General features: G+C 45.4%; 1 protein-coding gene and 1 pseudogene across 3 annotated transcripts in view, besides 3 other annotated features; one reads left to right on the forward strand and one right to left on the reverse strand.

Moving 5' to 3' along the window:
* The window catches only part of ENTREP2 (endosomal transmembrane epsin interactor 2), a 557,698-nt gene that overhangs the window by 483,671 nt on the left and 52,991 nt on the right, over positions 1–21,036 (reverse strand). The gene's annotated exons all lie outside the window — the stretch shown is intronic.
* Positions 9,440–10,130: an enhancer, noted in NCBI's record as "OCT4-H3K27ac hESC enhancer chr15:29903026-29903716 (GRCh37/hg19 assembly coordinates)". NCBI's record gives its function as "activates a minimal SCP1, AML or CMV promoter by ChIP-STARR-seq in naive H9 embryonic stem cells {active_cell/tissue: H9 hESC(naive)}" and the evidence as "EXISTENCE:reporter gene assay evidence [ECO:0000049][PMID:30033119]".
* Positions 10,131–10,821: an enhancer, noted in NCBI's record as "OCT4-H3K27ac hESC enhancer chr15:29903717-29904407 (GRCh37/hg19 assembly coordinates)". NCBI's record gives its function as "activates a minimal SCP1, AML or CMV promoter by ChIP-STARR-seq in naive H9 embryonic stem cells {active_cell/tissue: H9 hESC(naive)}" and the evidence as "EXISTENCE:reporter gene assay evidence [ECO:0000049][PMID:30033119]".
* On the forward strand, positions 11,897–13,088 carry TUBBP8 (tubulin beta class I pseudogene 8; annotated as a pseudogene).
* Positions 12,583–12,877: an enhancer, noted in NCBI's record as "tiled region #3573; HepG2 Activating DNase matched - State 12:CtcfO, and K562 Activating non-DNase unmatched - State 12:CtcfO". NCBI's record gives its function as "activates a minimal TATA promoter and a strong SV40 promoter by Sharpr-MPRA in HepG2 and K562 cells {active_cell/tissue: HepG2 | K562}" and the evidence as "EXISTENCE:reporter gene assay evidence [ECO:0000049][PMID:27701403]".

Raw genomic sequence — 21,036 nt, forward strand, 5'->3', positions numbered from 1 at the left:
TAAAATATATCTGAGAGTTCCATTAACTTAAAGTGTTTCCCCACCACCACCTTTTTTTTTTTTTTCTAGAGTTACTTCCTCTGGGGTATCTTCTTCATTCTTTTTGTCATGACCTTTTCCCTCATTTATGTCTGTAAGTTTATTGTCAATAAGTCCTTCTGGCTGTATATCTAGAGTTTCTCCGAAGGTGGCAGGGTCAACATTCACATGATCAGCTATGTCTTCCATAACTCCACATGGTCAGCTATTTCTTCTATAACTCCATTTACATCCCATTCAAATTTCACTTCCATCTTTAACACTTTTTGTTTCTTTTGTGTACTTTCATCTTTGTTGGCCAATTTGACCTTCTAATTATCTGTTTTTATAAAATGCCACCTGGGTTTATCACTGAGAATCACCGAGGCAGCACAACTACACACTTTGCTGGCAGTGCAATTGAATGACATATGCACAATGACCAATCACTGCAGATTTTGAAAGAACTTGCTGCGATTGGTCACCAAGCACTGCAGGTGTTGGAATAAAGGTCATGATTGGTAACTGACTGTGGTGCGCATCTGTTACTTACATAGTGATTTGTGGACTGAAGAGCTAGCAGCCCCATTTGTGCTCCATGCAATGACTCACAGTTAATATGCCATGGTAACTGTAATTTGAACCGTGTTGTTGGAAGACTGAGTTATTTAATGAAACCATGGTAAATGAGTTCGTTTCATGCTTAATCAGAACCACGAGAAGCAAAGCCTGCCTGTATTTGTATTCTGTCTTCACAAGTCCAGTGTAAGCCCCATGAGGGCAGGACCCATGACTCAAGAAGTCATCTGCACATATTCCCCATGCTCACCCCAAGCACCTACTACAGTACCTTGTGTATGAAAAAATACTCGATAAATATTTACTGAATTTTATTTTCTTCACCAGAGAAAGAACTGTGTAGATGTAACACAGTATTGAAAGTCAAGAGACTTCAATTCTTGGTCTGGGTCTGGAACTAATTGAGTATGATTTTTCAGACACTCTCTCTTTTAAAAAAATGTATTTTAAGCAAAATCTCTACCTATGGTAAGGATATAATCAGAATTCTAACAACTATTGTGTCTTAGTCATATTCAAGATGAAAAAACTGTTTTAGTTTATTATTTTATTATTTATATTATTTTATTATTTTTTGAGATGGAGTCTTGCTTTGTTGCCCAGTCTGGAGTGCAGTGGCGCGATCTCAGCTCATTGCAACCTCCACCTCCTGGATTCATGCAATTCTCATGCCTCAGCCTCCTGAGTAGCTGGGATTACAGGCATGCACCAACATGCCCGGCTAATTTTTGTATTTTTATTAGAGATATATTCCCTCTTTCAGTGTTCCTGGGAGCTCCTTAATGAGCCAAAACACAAAGCCATTCTGACAGAGAATGCTGGCTGTCAGCTGCATTCATTCAGAGCTAAGTGATCTGATCCACACACCAGCCTAACAGCCAAAGTGATCTCACTAAAATGACCAATATCACTGCAAAGGAAGGTTTTCCAGGCCAAGAGAACGTGCATGTGCAAAGACCCTGGGGCAAGAAAGAACCTGGCATTTCGTAGCTACCAAAAGCCCATATGCAGGAGAGCACAGAGGGCAGAAAGATGTGAAGAGAATCACGAGATGGCCCAATGACGAAAGGGGAAGAGCTGGAAGGGAGTGCCATGAGCCCCTGTTGAAATCCCTCTGGCTGCAGTGTGGTGAGTGGATGGCAGAAGAGTCACAAAGGATGTGGGGGAAGAAGCTGTGAAAGGATGCCAGAAGAGATGTGATGTGACCTGGCCCTGGGTGGAAGCAAGGGAGATGGGAACAAAGGCATAGCTTCCAGAGAGGTCAAGATGTCAAACCAGTGTTTGAGGCAGGTGGTCCATGTGTGGTCCCAGAACAGCAGCATCAGCAGCATCTGCAGGGAACTTGTTAGAACACGAATTCTCAGGCCCACTGTAGACTTCCTGAATCAGAAGCTCTGAGATTTCTGAACAGTTGGGGTTTTCTCAAGCCCTCTGGAGGAGTCTGCCTCTTGCTCAAGTGTGAGGTCCACCAGACGAGGTGATAGAAACAGAAAAGAACCTGCAAAGATGACTCCTGAGCAAGGGGGCTCTCCCACAGGGCCTGGGTGTCAGTGAGTGCTCTTCGGGGGCAAGAGAGAACCCTGGGAAGCACTGAGAAGCAGACAGCAAAGCCCCTCCAAAAAATGGTGTGAAACTCCAATTTCATTTTATTTAATTAATTAATTTATTTATTTATTTGAGACAGAGCCTCGCTCTGTCATCCAGGCCAGAGTGCAATGGCATGATCTTGGCTCACTGCAACCTCCGCCGCCCGGGTTCAAGCGATTCTCCTGCCTCAGCCTCCCGAGTAGCTGGGATTATAGGCAAGCACCACCACGCCTGGCTAACTTTCGTATTTTTAGGAGAGATGGGGTTTCACTATGTTGGCCAGGCTGGTCTTGAACTCGTGACCTCAGGTGATCCGCCTGCCTTGGCCTCCCAAAGTACTCCGATTATAGGCATGAGCCAACATGCCTGGCCTGAAACTCCAATTTTAATTTGAAGGACACATTTGACAACATATGAATTAAATATATCTATATGGTAGATTTCTCACCAAGAATTTAGATGAAAAAAAGAGGGAAAGGAGACAGTTGCAACATTTATGACGAGGGAAACGGTCACTATCCCTAATATGCAAAGGAGTCCATGAGGAAACTCGATAGAAAACTGGATAAAGAAAGTGAGTGGGAATTTCACAAAACGAAGAAATACCGATAATGAATAAAAAGATCATCAGTCTACTTAGTAACCAAGGCAATGCAAATTAAAGTGGCAATGACATTTCTGCCTATCAGATGGCCACAAGAATTTTTTAGACCAAATAACATCCAGTGGATCATATTCCACATTGTGGTCGAGAATAGAAATTGGTACAATCTTCGGTGATGGTAATTTGATGGAGTCTTTTAAAACTTAAAAATGCTCATTCTCTGAAAATGAGCAGAAAAAAAGAATTTGTATGACAATAATTTTTGAAAGTGATAAAATAAACTGTTAAGACAGTTTAATTTCTACGTAGATACCATCTTATTCATAACATATTATACCAAGTAATTCTCAATTTACTTTCAAGGTAATTATAAATCCCTGAAGTCATTATACATCTCACCCAAGGAATTATAATATCTAGCAATAACAAAAATACATTGAAAAGGAGTAAACTGCTCAGCAGATTTTGAATATTTTATTTTGAAATTCAACGTGGAACTTAACCAAAATATTGTTTTATTTCTCTTGGCAAAGTATCTCAACAGAGAGCTATTTCCCTAGGAAAAAAAGAAAATCTTTTATTCCCTATGAAATCAAGTCCACTCTAAGGAAGCTGATTAGGAAGGAGAACTGAGTGCCTCAAGCTCAGTAGTGCTGTCCCGTGAAGATGATGTGACTTGGCCCCCAAAGGGTGGAAGAGCCCTTACCGGCATCACGAGTAAGGGCAGGTGAGAAAGGTGGGCACCTGCAGGTGGTGCTCTGGGGTCTACACACAGTGACATGCACAGGTGACACAAACCGTGGTATTTATAGGAGTATTCAAAGGCAGGCTAACCTCAAACACTCTCAGCTTAGAAATGTACAGATAGATAACGTTTAAACTGAGACAAAGCTTTGCAGTTTATGTGAAGCTCAAATGCTGCTGAAGCTGCTCTGTTTCCTGGCCCACCCATCCACCAGCCTGTGTATCCTCCCCAATGAACAAATGATGGACCAAAATGTGGTATGGCAAATGGCAAATGTAAAACTGGAGCAAAGAGATTGTCAGGCTCTTTGAGAATATTACTTTTTCTAAAATATAGTTGATTGATTATTCTTTTGAGAGATAATCATAGGCCCAGTGGAAGTTCAAAGGTATATATCGAAAGTCAATTGGCCTCCCACCCTCTGAACTTGCTTTGAATTCCTTGTGTGTCCTCCCAGGACAGTCTATGCATACACAAATACCTCCTCTATGTGTAAATGTCAGTGGCATGCTATTCACACTCTTCTGAGTTTGTCTTATTTCACTTAACCATATACTTTGGAAATTGATCCACATCTGTATCTCTAAATCTGACTCATTTTTTAAAAGTCATTTTATTTTAAATAAAATGTGGATTCAGGGCAGGGCATGGTAGCACATGCCTGTAATCCCAGCACTTTGGGAGACCAAGGCAGGCAGATCACCTGAGGTCAGGAGTTCAAGACCAGCCTGGCCAACATGGTGAAACCCTGTCTCTACAAAAATACAAAAACTAGCTGGGCATGATGGGGGGGTGCCTATAATCCCAGCTACTCGGGAGGCTGAGGTAGGAGAATTGCTTGAACCTGGGAGGCAGAGGTTGCAGTGAGCCGAGAGCACCATTGCACTCCAGCTTGGGTGACAGAGTGAGACACCATATCAAAAGAAAAAAATAAAATATGGATTCAGAAAACTGCAAAATAAAATATATGGCTTAATGAATTATTTGAAGGTAAATACTACCTAGGATAAGAAATAGAACTTTGCCAGCCACCCCAGAAGCACCTCCATATTCCCTACCTAATCCCTGTCTTCTCCCTCCCACCATAAGTGACATTAATCTGACTTGTTTTCATTTTTATTTTTATAGCTTTATCACCCAAATTTGCTCCCCTAGACCTTATACTTTAGTCCTACCTATTCTAAAAAATGTGTGCTAGGTCTTTTAAGTCTCTTTTAATCTATATGGTTCCTCCTCCATCCATTTCATTTCTTTACAACTTATCGTTGACAAATCTGGGCTAGTCGAATTTCCCATGTCTGTCTTTTTCTTTTCTTTTCCTTCTTTTTTTTTTTTTTTAGATGGGGTCTCACTCTGTCACCCAGACTGGAGTGCAGTGGCTCAATCTCGGCTCACTGCAACCTCCACCTCCTGGGTTCAAGTGATTATCCTGCCTCAGCCTCCAGAGTAGGTGGGACTACAAGCGCGCGCCACCACACCTGGCTAATTTTCTGTATTTTTAGTAGAGACGGGGTTTCACCATGTTAGCCAGGATGGTCTTGATCTCCTGACCTTGTGATCCACCCGCCTCAGCCTCCCAAATTGCATGTTGGTAGCAATTTGCTATGCCCTTTACACTTAAGGGTCAGTTTTTCTGGGTATAACATTTTTGGCTTATACTGTCTTTCCTTGAGTATGTTAAATATGCTAATCCATTCTCCTTTGGTATAAAGCATTTTTCTCAAAAAATCCTGGTAATAGTCTATTTTTCTTTTCCTTATAAGTCACATAAGACTTTTTCAAGATGTCCAAAGAATTTCTCTAGAGGTTCAAATGATTTTTTTTTTCTTAAGTACTAATAATTTCAGTAGGATATATCTTGACAGCAGTCATCCTGGGCCGATATTCTCAAGTGTGCATTGAACCTTTTCTTTCTTTCTTTCTTTCTTTTTTGAGACAGGTTCTTGCTCTGTCACCCAGGCTGGAGTGAGTACAGTGGTACAACCTCAGCTAACTGCAACCTCTGCCTCCCGGGTTCAAGCAATTCTAGTGCCCCAGCTTCCTGAGTAGCTGGGATTACAGGTGCAAGCCACCACACCCAGCTAATTTTTGTATTATTATAGAAATGAGATTTCACCATGTTGGCCAGGCTGTTCTCGAATTCCTGGCCTCAAGTGATCTGCTCACCTCAGCCTCCCAAAGTGCTGAGATTACAGGCATGAGCCACCGCATTCACATTTCAATATACATTATCAAATCTTTTATTTCAAGGAAGTTTTCTTGGATTATAGCTCTTAGTACTTCCTCTGTTCTCTTGCTTTGGTTTTCTTCATGAGGAAAACCTATTATTCATATGTACAATAGCCTTCAATGTTCACTACTTTCTCTTAAATCCTTCTCTCTTCATTTCTTTTTTTTTTTTTTTGTCTTATTTCACCTTTTATGTCTCTCGAGGCATTACCCTTGTATTTGTTTACTTTTGTGTTCCTTCCAGGAACACAGGTATTGACATCCATCAAATGTATTTAAATCCATGGATTCATAATAATTAGTCTACCTTACAGAATAATTATTTTTAGTTCTACTTTTTTCCTGAGTTGTCACTTCATTTCCAAGTTTCTCTAATTCTGATTGATGCTGTTCTGCCATGTCTATCATGTACTTAATGTCTTTTTCTGAAATAGATCAAACAGAAGCTTGCTGTTTTATGACTATGTCTCTCTGCCATGACTTGTCAGTTACAGTGTTACCCTATTCTTTATTCTCTCTAGTTTTTAAAATTACTTTGCATAGGATTGAACTTGATACTCTTCTAGTGCTCGTTTTTTCATGTGAAATCAAGTTTTCCTAAACTTTTAGAACAAGTCAGGGTTCCCTAGGGGGACAGAACTAATAGAATAGAGGGATAGATAGATAGATAGATAGATAGATAGACAGACAGACAGACAGATAGATAGATATAGATAGATAGACAGAGAAAGGGGAGTTTATTAAGTATTAAATTATATGGTCACAAGGTCCCACAATAGGCCGTCTGCAAGCCTGAGGAACAAGGAGAGCCGGTCCGAGTCCCAAAACTGAAGAACTTGGAGTCTGATGTTTGAGGGCAGGAAGCATCCAGCATGGAAGAAAGATGTAGGCTGGGAGACTAGGCCAGTCTTGCCTTTTCACGTTTTTCTGCCTGCTTTATATTTGCTGGCAGCTGATTAGATTGTGCCCACCAGATTAAGGGTGGGTCTACCTCTCCAAGCCCACTGACTCAAATGTTAATCTCCTTTGGCAACACCTCACAGACACACCCAGGATCAATACTTTGCATCCTTCAATCCAATCAAGTTGACACTCAGTACTAATCATCACAAAGGCCATGTTAAGGAATGCTTTTCAAACTTCACAGGGCTCCTACTTCTGTGTTCAAAAATAGAGCCACCTGCTTTCAGGGATTTGCTGGCTGTTTCTTTCCCCCAATGCAGATGGAAACTGCTCCTTCCTTTCTTTCATCCTTGTCTTGCTCAATTTTGATTCCTCTCCCAGCGCTTTCTCCTGAGTGTGGAGCCCTTCCTGATCAGTCTTGGGAATTCCTAGGGGCTCGACTGCTCCTGCCTCCTCCTGCCTCCTCCTGCCTTCTTTATTATTATTATTATTATTATTATTATTTATTTATTATTATTATTTTTTGAGACAGAGTCTCGCTCTGTTACCCAGGCTGGAGTGCAGTGGCGCCATCTCGGCTCACTGCAAGCTCCGCCTCCCAGGTTCGCCTCCCAGGTTCGCCCATTCTCCTGACTCAGCCTCCCGAGTAGCTGGGACTACAGGCACCTGCCACCACACCTGGCTAATTTTTTTGTATTTTTAGTAGAGACAGGGTTTCACCCTGTTAGCCAGGATGGTCTCGATCTCCTGACCTCGTGATGCGCCCGCCTCGGCCTCCTAAAGTGCTGGGATTACAGGCTTGAGCCACCGTGCCTGGCCTCCTCCTGCCTTCTTACTGTGGGCACCTGAACTACCTCGCACTAGAGAGGCAACTCTTCAGCTCCACCTGCTCGTCTCGAATTGGCCCACAATACTTTCTAGTGAATACTGGTATATCTGGGGTTCTTCTGTTCTCAGGTCTATCATGCCTCACCCCCTTGCTTTCTAACTTCTTTCAGCCCCTCAAACCCAGATACCATGCAACTCTTGAGGCTGTTGGCCATTTATATATGCTAGGTTAGTGGGAATAATTTGTCACCTAGTTTTGTCATAAATATTTTCCTTGGGTTGTGGGTTTTGCTGCCTAGTTTCTGTGTGTCTGCATGGGGACTTGGAAAAACTGAAAACTTGGACCCCTTTGCCTAGAATCTGGTTTATTCTTTATAACAGGGGCACTGTATTTATCTAACCAGTCCCCTATTGATGGATATGTGGGTTGTTTCTGAATTTTGCTATCACAATCAATGTGCCCTATTATTGTTTGAATGTTTGCCCCCTCCCAAACTCATGTTGAAATTTAATTACCATTGTAACAGTATTAAGAGGTGGGACCTCTAAGAGGTGATTAGGCCATGAGGGCTCTGCCCTCATGAATGGATTAATACTGTTATTGTGGGAGTGGATTCACCCCCGTTCATCTCTCTCTCACCTCTCTTTGCCCTTCTGCCATGTTATGACTGATCAAGAAGGCCCTCACCCCATACACAGTTCCCAGAACTGTGCACCAGTCATCTGTTTATTATAGATTGCCCAATCTATAATATTAATTATTATTGTTACCCAATTATTACTAATTAATACTCAATCTATAATAATAATAATCTGTTTATTATATATTACCCAATCTGTGATATTCAGTCATTGCAGCACAAAATGGACCAAGTCATACCCTTTACACAAGTGCATATGAGCAGGTACATCTGTAGGATACATTTCTAGAGGTGGAATAGTTCAATAAGGATATGAACACAGTAGGTGCTCAAAAATATTTGCTAATTTGAGTTAGAAAATGTATTTGCCACAATAGTAATAAAATTTGTTCTGGCCCACAGCCCAGGTAGACTTCTATTGAGAACAATGTACTTAAATACTGTTAAGCACAACTTTGGGGCTCCTTGAGCAGAAGAAAGAGGAAACAAAAAAAGACACTGATTCATTCCTGCAGTTAGCAATCAGGTGTTGCCTAGTGTACTACAGACTCTACTGGGGCCTGGGGATATAGCAGAGGTCCTAGCCCTGTTGGAGCTCACAGTTCAGAGTGGAGATGCCTTTGTTGTTTGAGCAACTTTGAGAATTAAATGATTGCTCTTCATACTCACAATTGAGTAACACTTCGTAAAACGTACCATCCAATCTTTGTCTACACCTAGAAAAACTTCAGGGTAAATTTCAGTGCAGAGCACAGGGAGAACAGCTGTCCAGGATAAATACTTAGATGTCAGCTGTCCATTTGGTCATATGCCATTTCTGAGAGTCAGTCTACAACCTCCTCTTCAGAAGGCACCCAAGGTTTTCTGTAAACAGATGAGGCTGCTTCAGGGGTACACTGCGATGCTTCATTCCTGTTGGTACTGGAGTACAAATCTGGGAACTTTAAAATGCATCGATGGTGGAAAAAAAGAAAAAAACAAAACAAAAACAAATAGCAAAAGCGGTGTGCATTGCTTCAGTTTCAGCCAAGTTCATTCTCTCTTCCAGAAACCCAGCTTCCATGCTGATGTCCTTAAGCCATCAATGCCGTCAACAATGCTGTTATTCCCTAAGTTCAGGGTCAATAAAGGCAGAGCTAGCTCCGCAGCTCATGGCAAAGATCTCCATTTGGCCATAACATTTTCCCAGATTGACCTCGTAATGTTTTTCAACACGGTGCTCTGGACAACCTCTACAAAGAGGTGAAGGCATCCAAGCTGAGTCTCATCTCCCATCCCCTATGTGACTATTCTGCACTGAAACCTGGGACTCTTCCTCCTTCTTTATCCCTCTGCAGTGATTCAGTCCCCAAGTCCAAGTCTATTCCAATGATCCCTTCACCTCTATATTTCTTCTACTCTTTCTGATCATCCTCCATAAGTTCTGCTGCCAGATTAACCTGTCACCCCTTTGAAGCCATGATTCATGTGGGCTGGTCTCAGGCTGATGTGATGTTCAAAGAAACGCAGTCTAGCATCCACTTGTATTTTCAAAAATTGCTCCCGTCCTTTATGTCTCTTTAGTCCCATGCAGGAGATACTTTGCCTATAGAAACATTTCTCAAACACCCTCTTTGTCTGTCTCCTACTCCCATCACTTCCTGGGGCTTCTTCTGTGCTTTCTTGTCTAAACTCCCCCAGTCCCTAGCCCCGGACTCTGAGACACTTCTCACTCCACCCTTCCCCCTTCCCTGGTCTTTGCATCACAAAAGCCCAAAGAGTCAGCAGGGAAATGACCCAGCCTTTCTTAGAGAGCTTGGGGAAAGAAACCTGGTGGGGAAACTCTTTTAGTCGGACAGACAGAGGCATATTAAAACTCATTAAAAAAAAAACTCTTAAAAAAGAAAAACACTTTGTAAATGTAATTTTTTCTGCTCCTTGACACAGATTTTCCCATCATCCCCTAGCGTCTAATGGATAGAGTCCACGCTCCTGGCCTGGGAGTCAAGACCCTCCACGTGCACCCTTAACTTATGTCTCAAGCTTCTCTACTGCTTCCCAGCCTTACCCCTCTGCCCTTCCCAGCCACTTTATCTGCTGTCCCTGACCACACCACCAATATCCCAGCATGCTGGCTCCTCTCTTCTTCCCCATCCAATTCCCGATTTTCCTTCCAGTGTCATCTCAAGTGGCTTTATCTCGGGGTTTGATGTTTTCTGCTCCTCCCAAACCTCCCAAGCCTTCTGACTCTTCATAAGAGTTTGTTCGGTGAATGAATGAAGCCCTCACTTCATGCCCTTCTCTGGTACAGGAATCGCATCATTCAGGAAGCTTCTTTGAGCAACTAACAGGCATTTTCTTAGCTTATTTCGTTGCCTTTAAACCAAGGCTGCCATTTCTGCCTGTGCGTTCTGTCTGCCTTCGCTGCACCTCCACTCCTTCAAGCTTGGATTGATGACTTCTGTTCTCTAATTTTATCTGGGCAATCAAATTCCCAAAATATGTGTAAAAGAGAAGATTGCATTCCTATTTTACAAACGTGGCAACTCTGTGGAATTTTTAATCAGATACCAGCTTTTCTGCATCTCTGTGATGTTTTTCCTCCTTCGGAGTCAGTAGATAGGGCCTTTTGCTTTGCATTGTTGACCATTGTCCTTGCCTTCTGACATTTTTTGCTGTCTTCCTCACGTGCATTCCACAGTCAGAATACTGGGCTTTGTCCTTCCCTCTTTCATTACAAGAAGCTCTGCTATAAGGATGTTTTGTGGGTTCCTCAGCTCTAATGAAATTCCAGGCATTTCCTTGAAGCTGGCCCCCAGGGAGAAGCTACTCTCACTGGTCTGTGACGCTCAGCTAGAGAGGAGATGACGGCGTGAGTTTGGTTCTGGGCTGGAATTTCTTGTTGCAACATCCCAGCGTGGCCCCTCTTAGAACCTTCCCACCACCACATTCAAATCTTATTCCTCCAGCCTCTGGCACACCTTCAGCCTGCTACCAGCAGAGAAAAAAAAAAAAAAGACATATGTTCTTGCTCCATATATCCTTGAGGTGGGCAAAAAAATTAAATGTTAACCATGGAGGAAATTGTGCACATCCAGACAGGACACTGTGGCAGTCAGATCAGTGCCAAATTCTGGGAAGTTATCAGTGATGGTCATAGCATGGACCTACCAGTACCTGCCCAGGGACCACGATCTGTAGCTGGACCACATCTTGGTGTGCCACAGTGAAGGCACTGGGGACAAATATGTTCCTCCCACTATCCTGGTGGATCCAGAACCTGGGATCATGGACTCTGCTCAGATCCTTTTGAAACCATGCCCCAAAGAGTTAAAGAAACCAGTGACTCACAGAAATTCTTAAGCCTGCAGGATGGCAGATAAGAAAAGAAACAGCTTGCTGAAATTCCCTCCAACTATAAGGTAACAAAACAGGCTGAAATCAGTTGAAACCAATACGGCCCACTGGAGTATACGCAGAACGAGACTGGTGATGCTACGACCTGAATTTCCTCTGCATGTTTCATCCTAACTCCCCCAGAATTTGCACGTGGGCCCCATAAAAAGGCAGGAAGAGATAATTGTCCATGCCCAAGGACTTTGCAGACCACCCTTTTCACTCCCTGAACCTTTTCTAACAAAAGTACAGCCTTATGCCCAGCACAGGGAGACCGATTTGAGCTAGAATGCTATCTCCTTGTTGATAGACCTGCAATAAAAAGCGTTTCTTTTCTGAAAAACCCAGTGTCATAGCGTTGGCTTCTAGCGCATCGGGTAGTGAGCACTTTTGCTTAGATCTGCAGACCAGACCACTTTGTTTTCGGTCAGTTTGGGGCAGGCAGCAGTACACAGTGGAGCTGAGCTGGTTGATTCATTCCTGGATATGTGCAGAAGGAAGCTGAGAGCTGTGACTGCCTTCAGGGCTTCCAGCTGACCCACTCACTGGGTGAGGGCACAGGCTCTGGAATGGGCACCCTCCTCCACAGCAAGATCCGAGAAGAGGATCCTGACCACATCATGAACACCTCCAGTGTAATGCCCTCACTCAAAGTGTTTGGCACTGTGGCTGAGCCCTGCAGTGCCCCCTCCCCATCCATCCACTGGTAGAGAACACTGATGAGACCTGCGGCACAGACATTGAGGCTCCTTATAATATTCGCTTCCGCACCCTCGAGCTGACCACACAAAACTATGAGGACCTGACCCACCTGTCTCAGCTAACATGCGTGGGGTCACCACCTTCCTCTGCTTCCCTCACCAGCTCAATTCGGACCTCTGCAAGCTAGCAGTCAATACAGTGTCCTTCCCACGCCTCCAGTTCTTCATGGCTACCTTTGCCCCTCTCACCAGTTGTGGAAGCCAGCTGTATAGGGCTCTCACCATGCCCAAACTCACCCAGCAGGTCTTTGATGCCAAGAACATGATGGCTGCCCCACCAGGACTGCCTTCTTCCATGAATATCCATCCATTCATGAAGGAAGTCAATGAGCAGATGCTCAGTGTGCAGAACAAGAGTCGCCAGCAGCTATTTCATGGAATGGATGCTAACAACGGTCAAGACAGCCATGTGGGACATCCTTCCTCATGGCCACAAGATGGCGGTCACGTTCGTCGGCAACAGCGCGGCCACCCAGAAGCTCTCCATGGCCTCTCAGGGCAGTTCCCTGCTGTATTGTGCGGGAAGGCTGTCCTCCACTGGTATGCAGGGGAGGGCATGAACGAGATGGAGTTCGCTGAGGCCGAGAACAACATGAATGACTTCATCTCTGAACATCGACAGTCTAGGACGCCGCCGCAGAAGAGGGAGAGGACTCAGTGAGGAAGCCCAGTGGGAGGCCTAAGGCAGAGCTCCCATCACCTCTGGCATCTCAATTCCTTCAGCCTTCTTCCTTGGCTGCCCCTTTCTTCTCCCTCAGTAGTCGTGTTTGCTGCCTTTACCTTGTTTATCTGGGGAGAGGGAGGGTCTAGAGCAGTGCCTGGTACATAGTAAGTGCTCAATAAATATTTGTCTGCTGAATGTCTCCTCTCTCTTTCCACTCCAGGAAACCTAGATTTCTGCCGATCTGGGTAACCGTGTATTTCCTTCTGGTACCCTCCTCCCATCTGCCCAATTAATATGTCCCTCTGTTTTCAAAATAATTCTCCAGGAAGCTGGGTCCCATTCAGATCCCATTTAGAACCAACCGGGTGCTGAAAACCCAGATAATGTGCACCATCCTATGTCCACGTAGTAGCCAGCACTGGGAAGGTAGAAGGTGGCAGGAAGAAGTTACTGCAAGGGGCTGGGCATGGTGGCTCACGCCAGTCATCCCAGCACTTTGAGAGGCTGAGGCTGGAAGATTGCTTGAGCTTAGATGTTTGAAACCAGCCTGGGCAACATAGCAAGACCACGTCTCTATTTTTTTTTTAAGTAACAATAAAAAAAAAGAAAGAAGTTACTGCAAGGAAGAGGATGGGATTTTCCATTCTAGAACGGTTTTGGAGAGGGAAATCCAGGCTCATAAAGCCATAATTCCCAGGTATTTCTGTGCTCCAATTCTCAGGTTCAGGGGAGGTGGTAACAGCATTATCCCATTTTCAGTTTCCTTTGGAGGAGTCGCCCCGCTTCACCAAGAGAGGTCTTTCCTTCTCCCACCACTCCTCTTCTCTCACAAATTTTTTTTTCTTTTTTTTTTTTTTGAGACGGAGTCTCCCTCCATTGCCCAGGCTGGAGTGTAATGGTGCGATCTCAGCTCACTGCAACCTCTGCCTTCCGGGTTCAAGCGATTCTGCTGCCTCAGCTTCCTGAGTAGCTGGGATCACAGGCACACACCACCATGCTGGGCTAATTCTTGTATTTTTAATGGAGCTGGGTTTTCACCATGTTGGCCAGTCTGGTCTCGAACTCCTGACCTCAGGTGATCCGCCCACCTCTGCCTCCCAAAGTGCTGGGATTAGACGTGAGCCACAACGCCTGGCCCCCTCTCACATTTTGGATCCCTTCCTTTTCCCTAATCAGAAAAGGAGATTAAGAGGGAGAGATCTGCCTGGGTCCCTTAGCCTCTAGAAATGCCCTCTCCATTCCCAATTTGTCTTACCCCTTAAAAGGTGTAACATCCCTGACATATGTGGGAAGGTGTGTTCCCCCACCTAAATGTTTGAGTCATTCCCAAGATGAGAGGGGATGGGGCAACATCTCATCTCTTCCTTTTGCTATTCCCTTTTTTCCCCTGCTCTTGGTTTTGTCCTACCCTACACTTCAGATTTCTATTTTGGGTTGAACTTGCTGCTTTTTCCTCATAATGAAAAGATGACATTGTCCCAAGAGCCAAAATTAAATGGGAATTGGAAAAAAATCCACTGTGCAGATTGTCTTTCTTCCCTACCCGGCAGGGATGATACAGGGAAGCAGCGTCCAATACCACCTTTGTTAAGAGCCTAGAAGCTCAAAGTGTGGGCACTCCTGAGAGAGGGCCCTCATGCACATGCCATGGCACCAGAGGACCTGGTGGGACAGCAGCCCCCACCCCGGTTCACAGAGCAGCTGCCATCGCCCAGGCTAACCTGGAGCATGCAGGTAACAGTGTCTGTTGGAGGATCACACATATGTTGTTGCTAGACAATGTACCCTGAACAATGCAAATATACAGCAGTTTTGCAAACATCAGAGCAGACAAAAGTCATTCTTGATGTATTACCCTCAATTTGGAATAAATCCTTTGTGCAACAGAGCATTTCCCTTACCCTTTATAAAAAGCTCCTTTTAAGGCAGACCTTTGGACAAACCAAGGGGACGATGACCCCTTGGTCAGACTTCTTTTTACCAGGATGTGGCAGAGTTAGCCTGCAGTGTGAGAAGACAAGTCCTCTGACACCACTTGAAGGGGCTGAGACAGACCCGGTCAGGGCTGATGGCTGTCAGAGGGCTCACCACTCCACACTCAGAGGTGGATTTTTTTCCAATTCCCCTGCTCTGTGAGACAGTCACACTCACAGAGTGTCTCTTTAGAAGCTTTTATGGAAGCTTTTAAATTTGCTTCACAAAATGTTAACCTGGCTGTGTTTTCTGCATTGCATATATTTAAGGTGTATGACTTGATGATCTGATTGGTTGAATTTTTGATTGTTTACCTTTTCCTTTTTTCATACTGCTTTAAGTATAACAAAAAGGGAAAGGAAACTTTTAAAATACATTGGATCTCATTTCCCCTTTACAGACAAGTATTTTGCTTCCTATGACTCAACTTTTATATTAGTCAGGATTCTCCAGAGAAACACACTCAATAGGCTATACAGAGATAAATAAGAGGAAATTTAGGGGCTGGGCATGGTGCCTCACACCTGTAAACCCAGCACTTTGGGAGGCTGAGGCAGGCAGATCACTTGAGGTCAGGAGTTTCAGACCAGCCTGGCCCATCTCTACTAAAAATACAAAAATTAGCCAGGTGTGGTGGCACATGCCTGTAATCTCAGCTACTCCGGAGGCTGAGGCAAGAGAATCACTTGAACCTGGGAGGCGGAGGTTGCAGTGAGCCGAGATCATGCCACTGCACTCCAGTCTGGGCAACTGAGTGAGACGCCCTCTCAAATTATAATAAAAATAAATAAATAAATAAGATAAGATTTATTATAGGAACTGGCTCATGTGATTATGGAGGCTGGGAAGTCCCACGGCAGGCTGTCTGCAGGCTGGAGGCCCGGGAAAGCCAGGGGTGTACTGCAGCCTGAGCCCAAAGGCCAGAGAACCTGGGGAGCTTATGGTGTAAGTCCTGGAGTCCAAAGGCCTGAGCACCAGGAATGCACACGTCCAAGGGCTGGAGAAAATGCAGGTCCCAGATCCAGAAAAGAGAGAGAGAGAATTCCCTTTGCCTCCTCCTTTTTTGTTTTGTCTGGCTTCTCAGTGGATGGGATATGCCCACCCACATTGGTGAGGGTGATCTTTACTTAGTCAATGGATTCAAATGCCAATCCCTTTCAGAAACACCCTCACACACACCCAGAAAGACTGCTCTACAGGCCATCTGGGCATCCCTTAATCCAGTCAAGTTGACCTGTGACATTAGCTGCTGCAACTCATTATTTCATGTCTTCAGCTGCGATATTAAGAAACATGATGGAATCCATCAACCTACGCCATCAGCATTCATCAACACAGGTGCAACTTAGGTTAAAAGATGAGGCTTTGGGGGAAGATATTCAAAGCACCAAGCCCTACTTGTCACCAAAAGCAGAATTTCAGATCAGTGGGTGGACATTGGGCAGGAGGCGCTCTTATGTGGCATCTCTCAGAGAGCTCTGCAGGGTCTCATCCCGATGGCTGCACAAGGTGGTGGGTGACGGGGATGCCCGCTGAGCCTGAGGCCCAGGGCAGCCTGACAGAGGGCCTGTGTCTCAGCCCTCTCGGGCAGAAGGTTAGGACCAGGCAGCCTGGCATCTTGATTTCCACAGCCCTTTTCCTCATCCTCTTGGTCTCATGTCCTGCTCTGGACTCTCTAACTAGCTGGTTAGTTCCTGACCAAGGTTGGGCTTCCTCCACTCCCACCTCTGTTTCTGTTTCCTAATTTTCGTGGGCTGCCTATCTCTTTCTTAGAGTCTTAGAAATAATGGCTAGTTCATCTGTCTGTAGCCATGTCTATAGTGTCCATAGGCTTAAAAATGTTTTCACAGAGGCCGGGCGTGGTAGCTCACGCCTGTAATTCCAGCACTTTGGGAGGCCGAGTCGGGCAGATCACAAGGTCAGGAGTTCGAGACCAGCCTGACCAACATAGTGAAACCCCGTCTCTACTAAAAATACAAAAAATTAGCTGGGCGTGGTGGCAGACCCCTGTAATCCCAGCTATTTGGGAGGCTAAAACAGGAGAATCGATTGAACCCGGGAGGCGGAGGTTGCAGTGAGCTGAGATCACGCCATTGCACTCCAGTTCAGGCGACAGTGTGAGACTCTGTCTCAAAAAAAAAAAAAAAAAATGTTTTCACAGATGATCCAGGAAACGCACTTTGAAGGGTCCTAAATCTGCTTTCCCTCCCGTGAGCCTCTTGTGAATCTGAAGTTCTCAGCAGGTTGCCAGCCACTAATAGAACAGAGAAACACAGAAATCAATGCGAAAACCTTTGTTGCTATGTTCTTCTTACAAAAATTACAGACATGTCCTAGGTAAGATAAGCATATGTTCTCTGATAATGATGATCAATATCATTCTTCTCTGAAATGCAATCTAGAAAACAGGTCCCCAGAGGCTGCCCTGATGGGTGGTGGCTGCCAGCAGTGTGCCCTGAAGGAGACTGATCTGGTCACATGGCCCTCCCACCCCAGGGTGGCAGCACCCACAGACTTAGGAGAGACACACAGGAGGGTGACTCAGCCTGGCTCTCAAGAAAGGGCCAAAACACCCTTGGTGAGAAAGCACAGAAGACGCTAAGACAACCCCTGGAGAAACCAAAGGAAGAAAGTTACATGCAGGAGACAGAGCCTAAGCAGACAAGAGCTGGAAGATTCCCCTGGCTGCGGCTGGAGTGGAGGAGGACCACACTCCCAGTGCAGAGCCACCCGGCAGGGGCCCATTTGAGTTTTGAAGCGAAATCACCCTTTCTGAGTACTCTTTGTGTGTCAGGCATGTGCTAGCTGTTTTGCATGCATGGCTGGGCGCGGTGGCTCACGCCTGTAATCCCAGCACTTTGGAAGGCCAAGACAGGTGGATCACAAGGTCAGGAGATCAAGACCATCCTGGCTAACACGGTGAAACCCCATCTCTACTAAAAATACAAAAAATTGGCCAGGTGTGGTCGCTGGCGCCTGTAATCCCAGCTACTTGGGAGGCTGAGGCAGGAAAATTGCTTGAACCCAGGAGGCGGAGGTTGCAGTGAGCCTAGGTTGTGTCACTGCACTCCCAGCCTGGGTGACAGAGCGAGACTCCATCTCAAAAATAAATAAATAAATAAGTCACAACAACCTCATGAGATAGACATCCTTACTTACAGATGGGGAAACTGAAACACTGAGGGTTAAATAACTCGCTAAATATCCCATGGCTGGTCATGGTGTAGCTGGGACACACACAAACCCAGGCCTATCAACTCCAGTGCCTACACGCTTATCCAGTGCCTCTAGAGGGACAGACACAGTACTGAAAAGTGCCTGTGAAAGACAAAGTGTCACCTGTCTCATTGCAGTAGTGGACAAATGGAACTCTGACTGCTCAGGAAAGAAGAGGTCGGTGCTCTTGGAGCTTCACTCTCTTGTCCCATGCAGGTGCAGGGTAGAGGCTACGGATTTCCTGACACCCACCCTCCTGGCCATCCCCTGATCTCATCACCAGGCTCATCCTCCCACTCCTGGCCACGTGCCTGGAGGTTCTCCTGTCTCTGCCTCAGGTGGCTTTTCTGGTTTCTGGGCCATCTCTCATGGCCTCTGTGAGCCCTGTCCTCCCATGACTCACAGTTTGCTCCCTGAATCTCACCCTCAGACTCTAACTGGAGGATCCATTCCAGCTTTCCCGCATCTCAGTCCCAGTGAGTGGTTCTGTGTCTGTGAAGCCTCAGAAGCAGAACCAATGGGATGATATAGAATGTGGGGGTTTATTATAGGAATTTGATCTCATGCAAATGTGGGAACTGGTTAGAGTTTATGTACGTTTTTTGCTTCTGTGCCTGGTCAGCTGTGAGGAAGGACAGATGACACAAAGTGAGGAAAAGGACAAGCTCACCCTGGAGAATGAGTTTGGAGCCCTCCTGGGCTTCTCCCTACCTCTGGGAAGCACCTGTCAGGTGAATTGCAGGAGAAGCTGGTGCCTTTGCCATGGAGCTGAGCATGAACTACCTGGCCCAGCAGACAGGGAATTGGGAGAAACCGGGGGGAAGTGGTTGCTGCAGGCCGGGTTGCTCTCCCATGCCCAGGAGGTGGGCCGGCAGGTCAGGGACAGTGCACCTGGGCTGTGAAGCTTGTGGTGCCTGCACTGACATTCTGAGCAAGGTGGCTGCTGTTTTCCCCTCCACCTTGCAAATCTCAAGAATGGGTCTGGGCCAGGTGCAGTGGCTCACACCTATAGTCCCAGCTACTTGGGAGGCTGAGGCAGGAGGATCATTTGAGCTCAGGAGTTCCAGGCTCCGATGAAGTATGATCACACCACTGCACTCCAGCCTGGGCGACAGAGTGAGACCATGTCTCTAAAATAAATAAATGAAAAGGAAAAATAATGGTTTTGCTAGGCTCTTTTCCACACTGACTGATGAGGCCAAAGAAATAAGTGGGAAGAAGGAGTTCATGGAAACTGCCTGGCTGTTTCTGAGCCACTGTCCCCTGTCCCAGAGGCTTTGCTTGGGCAGACAGAGGGTTCATCTTACTGAGAGGTGGGGAAAAGGGCAGGAAATGGAGAGAAAGGAAGAACAAATCCCTCTCATTTGATCAGTTCATTTATTGGATGTTTCTTGTTAGAAGCTGAGAATAAAGACATGCAAAAGATGCAGCCTGACCTCTGGAAGCAGACAGTATCGATTATCCCAGGCATGTGGGAGGAGCCGGGTGGACTCTCAGGGTCTCATCGTGCTGCTCTCCCAGGTCTTGCCTTAGGCACCACCATTACTGCATTTGAGAAATGGCGCTGGCAGTAGTTGCTCCTGCTTAAAATGTAAGGGGGCGGCCAGGCGCAGTGGCTCATGCCTGTAATCCCAGCACTTTGGGAGGCCGAGGCAGGCGGATCACAAGGTCAGGAGATCAAGACCATCCTGGCTAACACGGTGAAACCCCGTCTCTACTAAAAATAAAAAAAATAGGCGGGGCACAGTGGCTCACGCCTGTAATCCCAGCACTATGGGAGGCCGAGACAGGTGGATCACGAGGTCAGGAGATCGAGACCATCCTGGCTAACATGGTGAAACCTGTCTCTACTAAAAATACAAAAATATTAGCCAGGCGTGGTGGCGGGCGCCTGTAGTCCCAGCTACTCGGGAGGCTGAGGCAGGAGAATGGCGTGAACCCAGGAGGCGGAGCTTGCAGTGAGCCGAGATCGTGCCACTGCACTCCAGCCTGGGTGACAGAGTGAGACTCTGTCTCAAAAAAAAAAAAAAAAAAAAAAAAAAAAGTAAGGGGGCAGCTCGCACCATTAGGATGGCCACTATCAAAAAAAAAAAAAAAAAAAACCCAGAAAATAAGTATTGGTGAGGATGTGGAAAAATCGGAACCCTTGTGCACTGTTGGTAGGAATGTAAAATAGTGCAGGCACTATGTAAAACAGGATGGCAGTTCCTCAAAAACTTAAAAATAGAATTACCATATGATCCAAAAATTCCACTGTTGAGTATACATGCCAAAGAAAGCAGGGTCTTGAAGTGATATTTGTACACTGCGTTCGAAGCACTATCATTCACATTAACCAAAAAGTGGAAGCAAGCCAAGCATCCATCCACAGACAAGTACATAAACAAAATGTGGTGGATTCATACAATGGAATAGTATTGAGGACAACATTTCTACTAAGTGAAATGAGCTAATCACAAAAGAACAAATACCGCGTTATTCCACTTATATGAGGTGCCTAGACTCATCAAATTCACAAAGACAGAAAGTAACATGGTGGTTGCCAGGGGCCATGCAGTGGGGAGGGGATGGGGACACAGTTTCAGTTTTGCAAGATGAAAAGAGTCCTGGAGATAGATGATGGGGATGGCTGCACAACACTGTGAATGTATTTAACACTACTAACTGTACACTTAAAATGGTTAAAATAGTTTATTTTATTTTATTTTATTTTATTTTGAGATGGAGTCTAGCTCTGTTGCCCAGGCTGGGGGCAATGGCATGATCTCGGCTTACTGCAACCTCTGCCTCCCAGGTTCAAGCAATTCTCCTGCTTCAGCCTCCCAAGTAGCTGGGATTACAGGTGCCCATGACCACGCCCGGCTAATTTTTTTGTATTTTTAGTAGAGACAGGGTTTCACCATGTTGACCAG

The sequence above is a fragment of the Homo sapiens genome, chromosome 15, assembly GCF_000001405.40.
Source record: "Homo sapiens chromosome 15, GRCh38.p14 Primary Assembly".
NCBI lineage: Eukaryota > Metazoa > Chordata > Mammalia > Primates > Hominidae > Homo > Homo sapiens.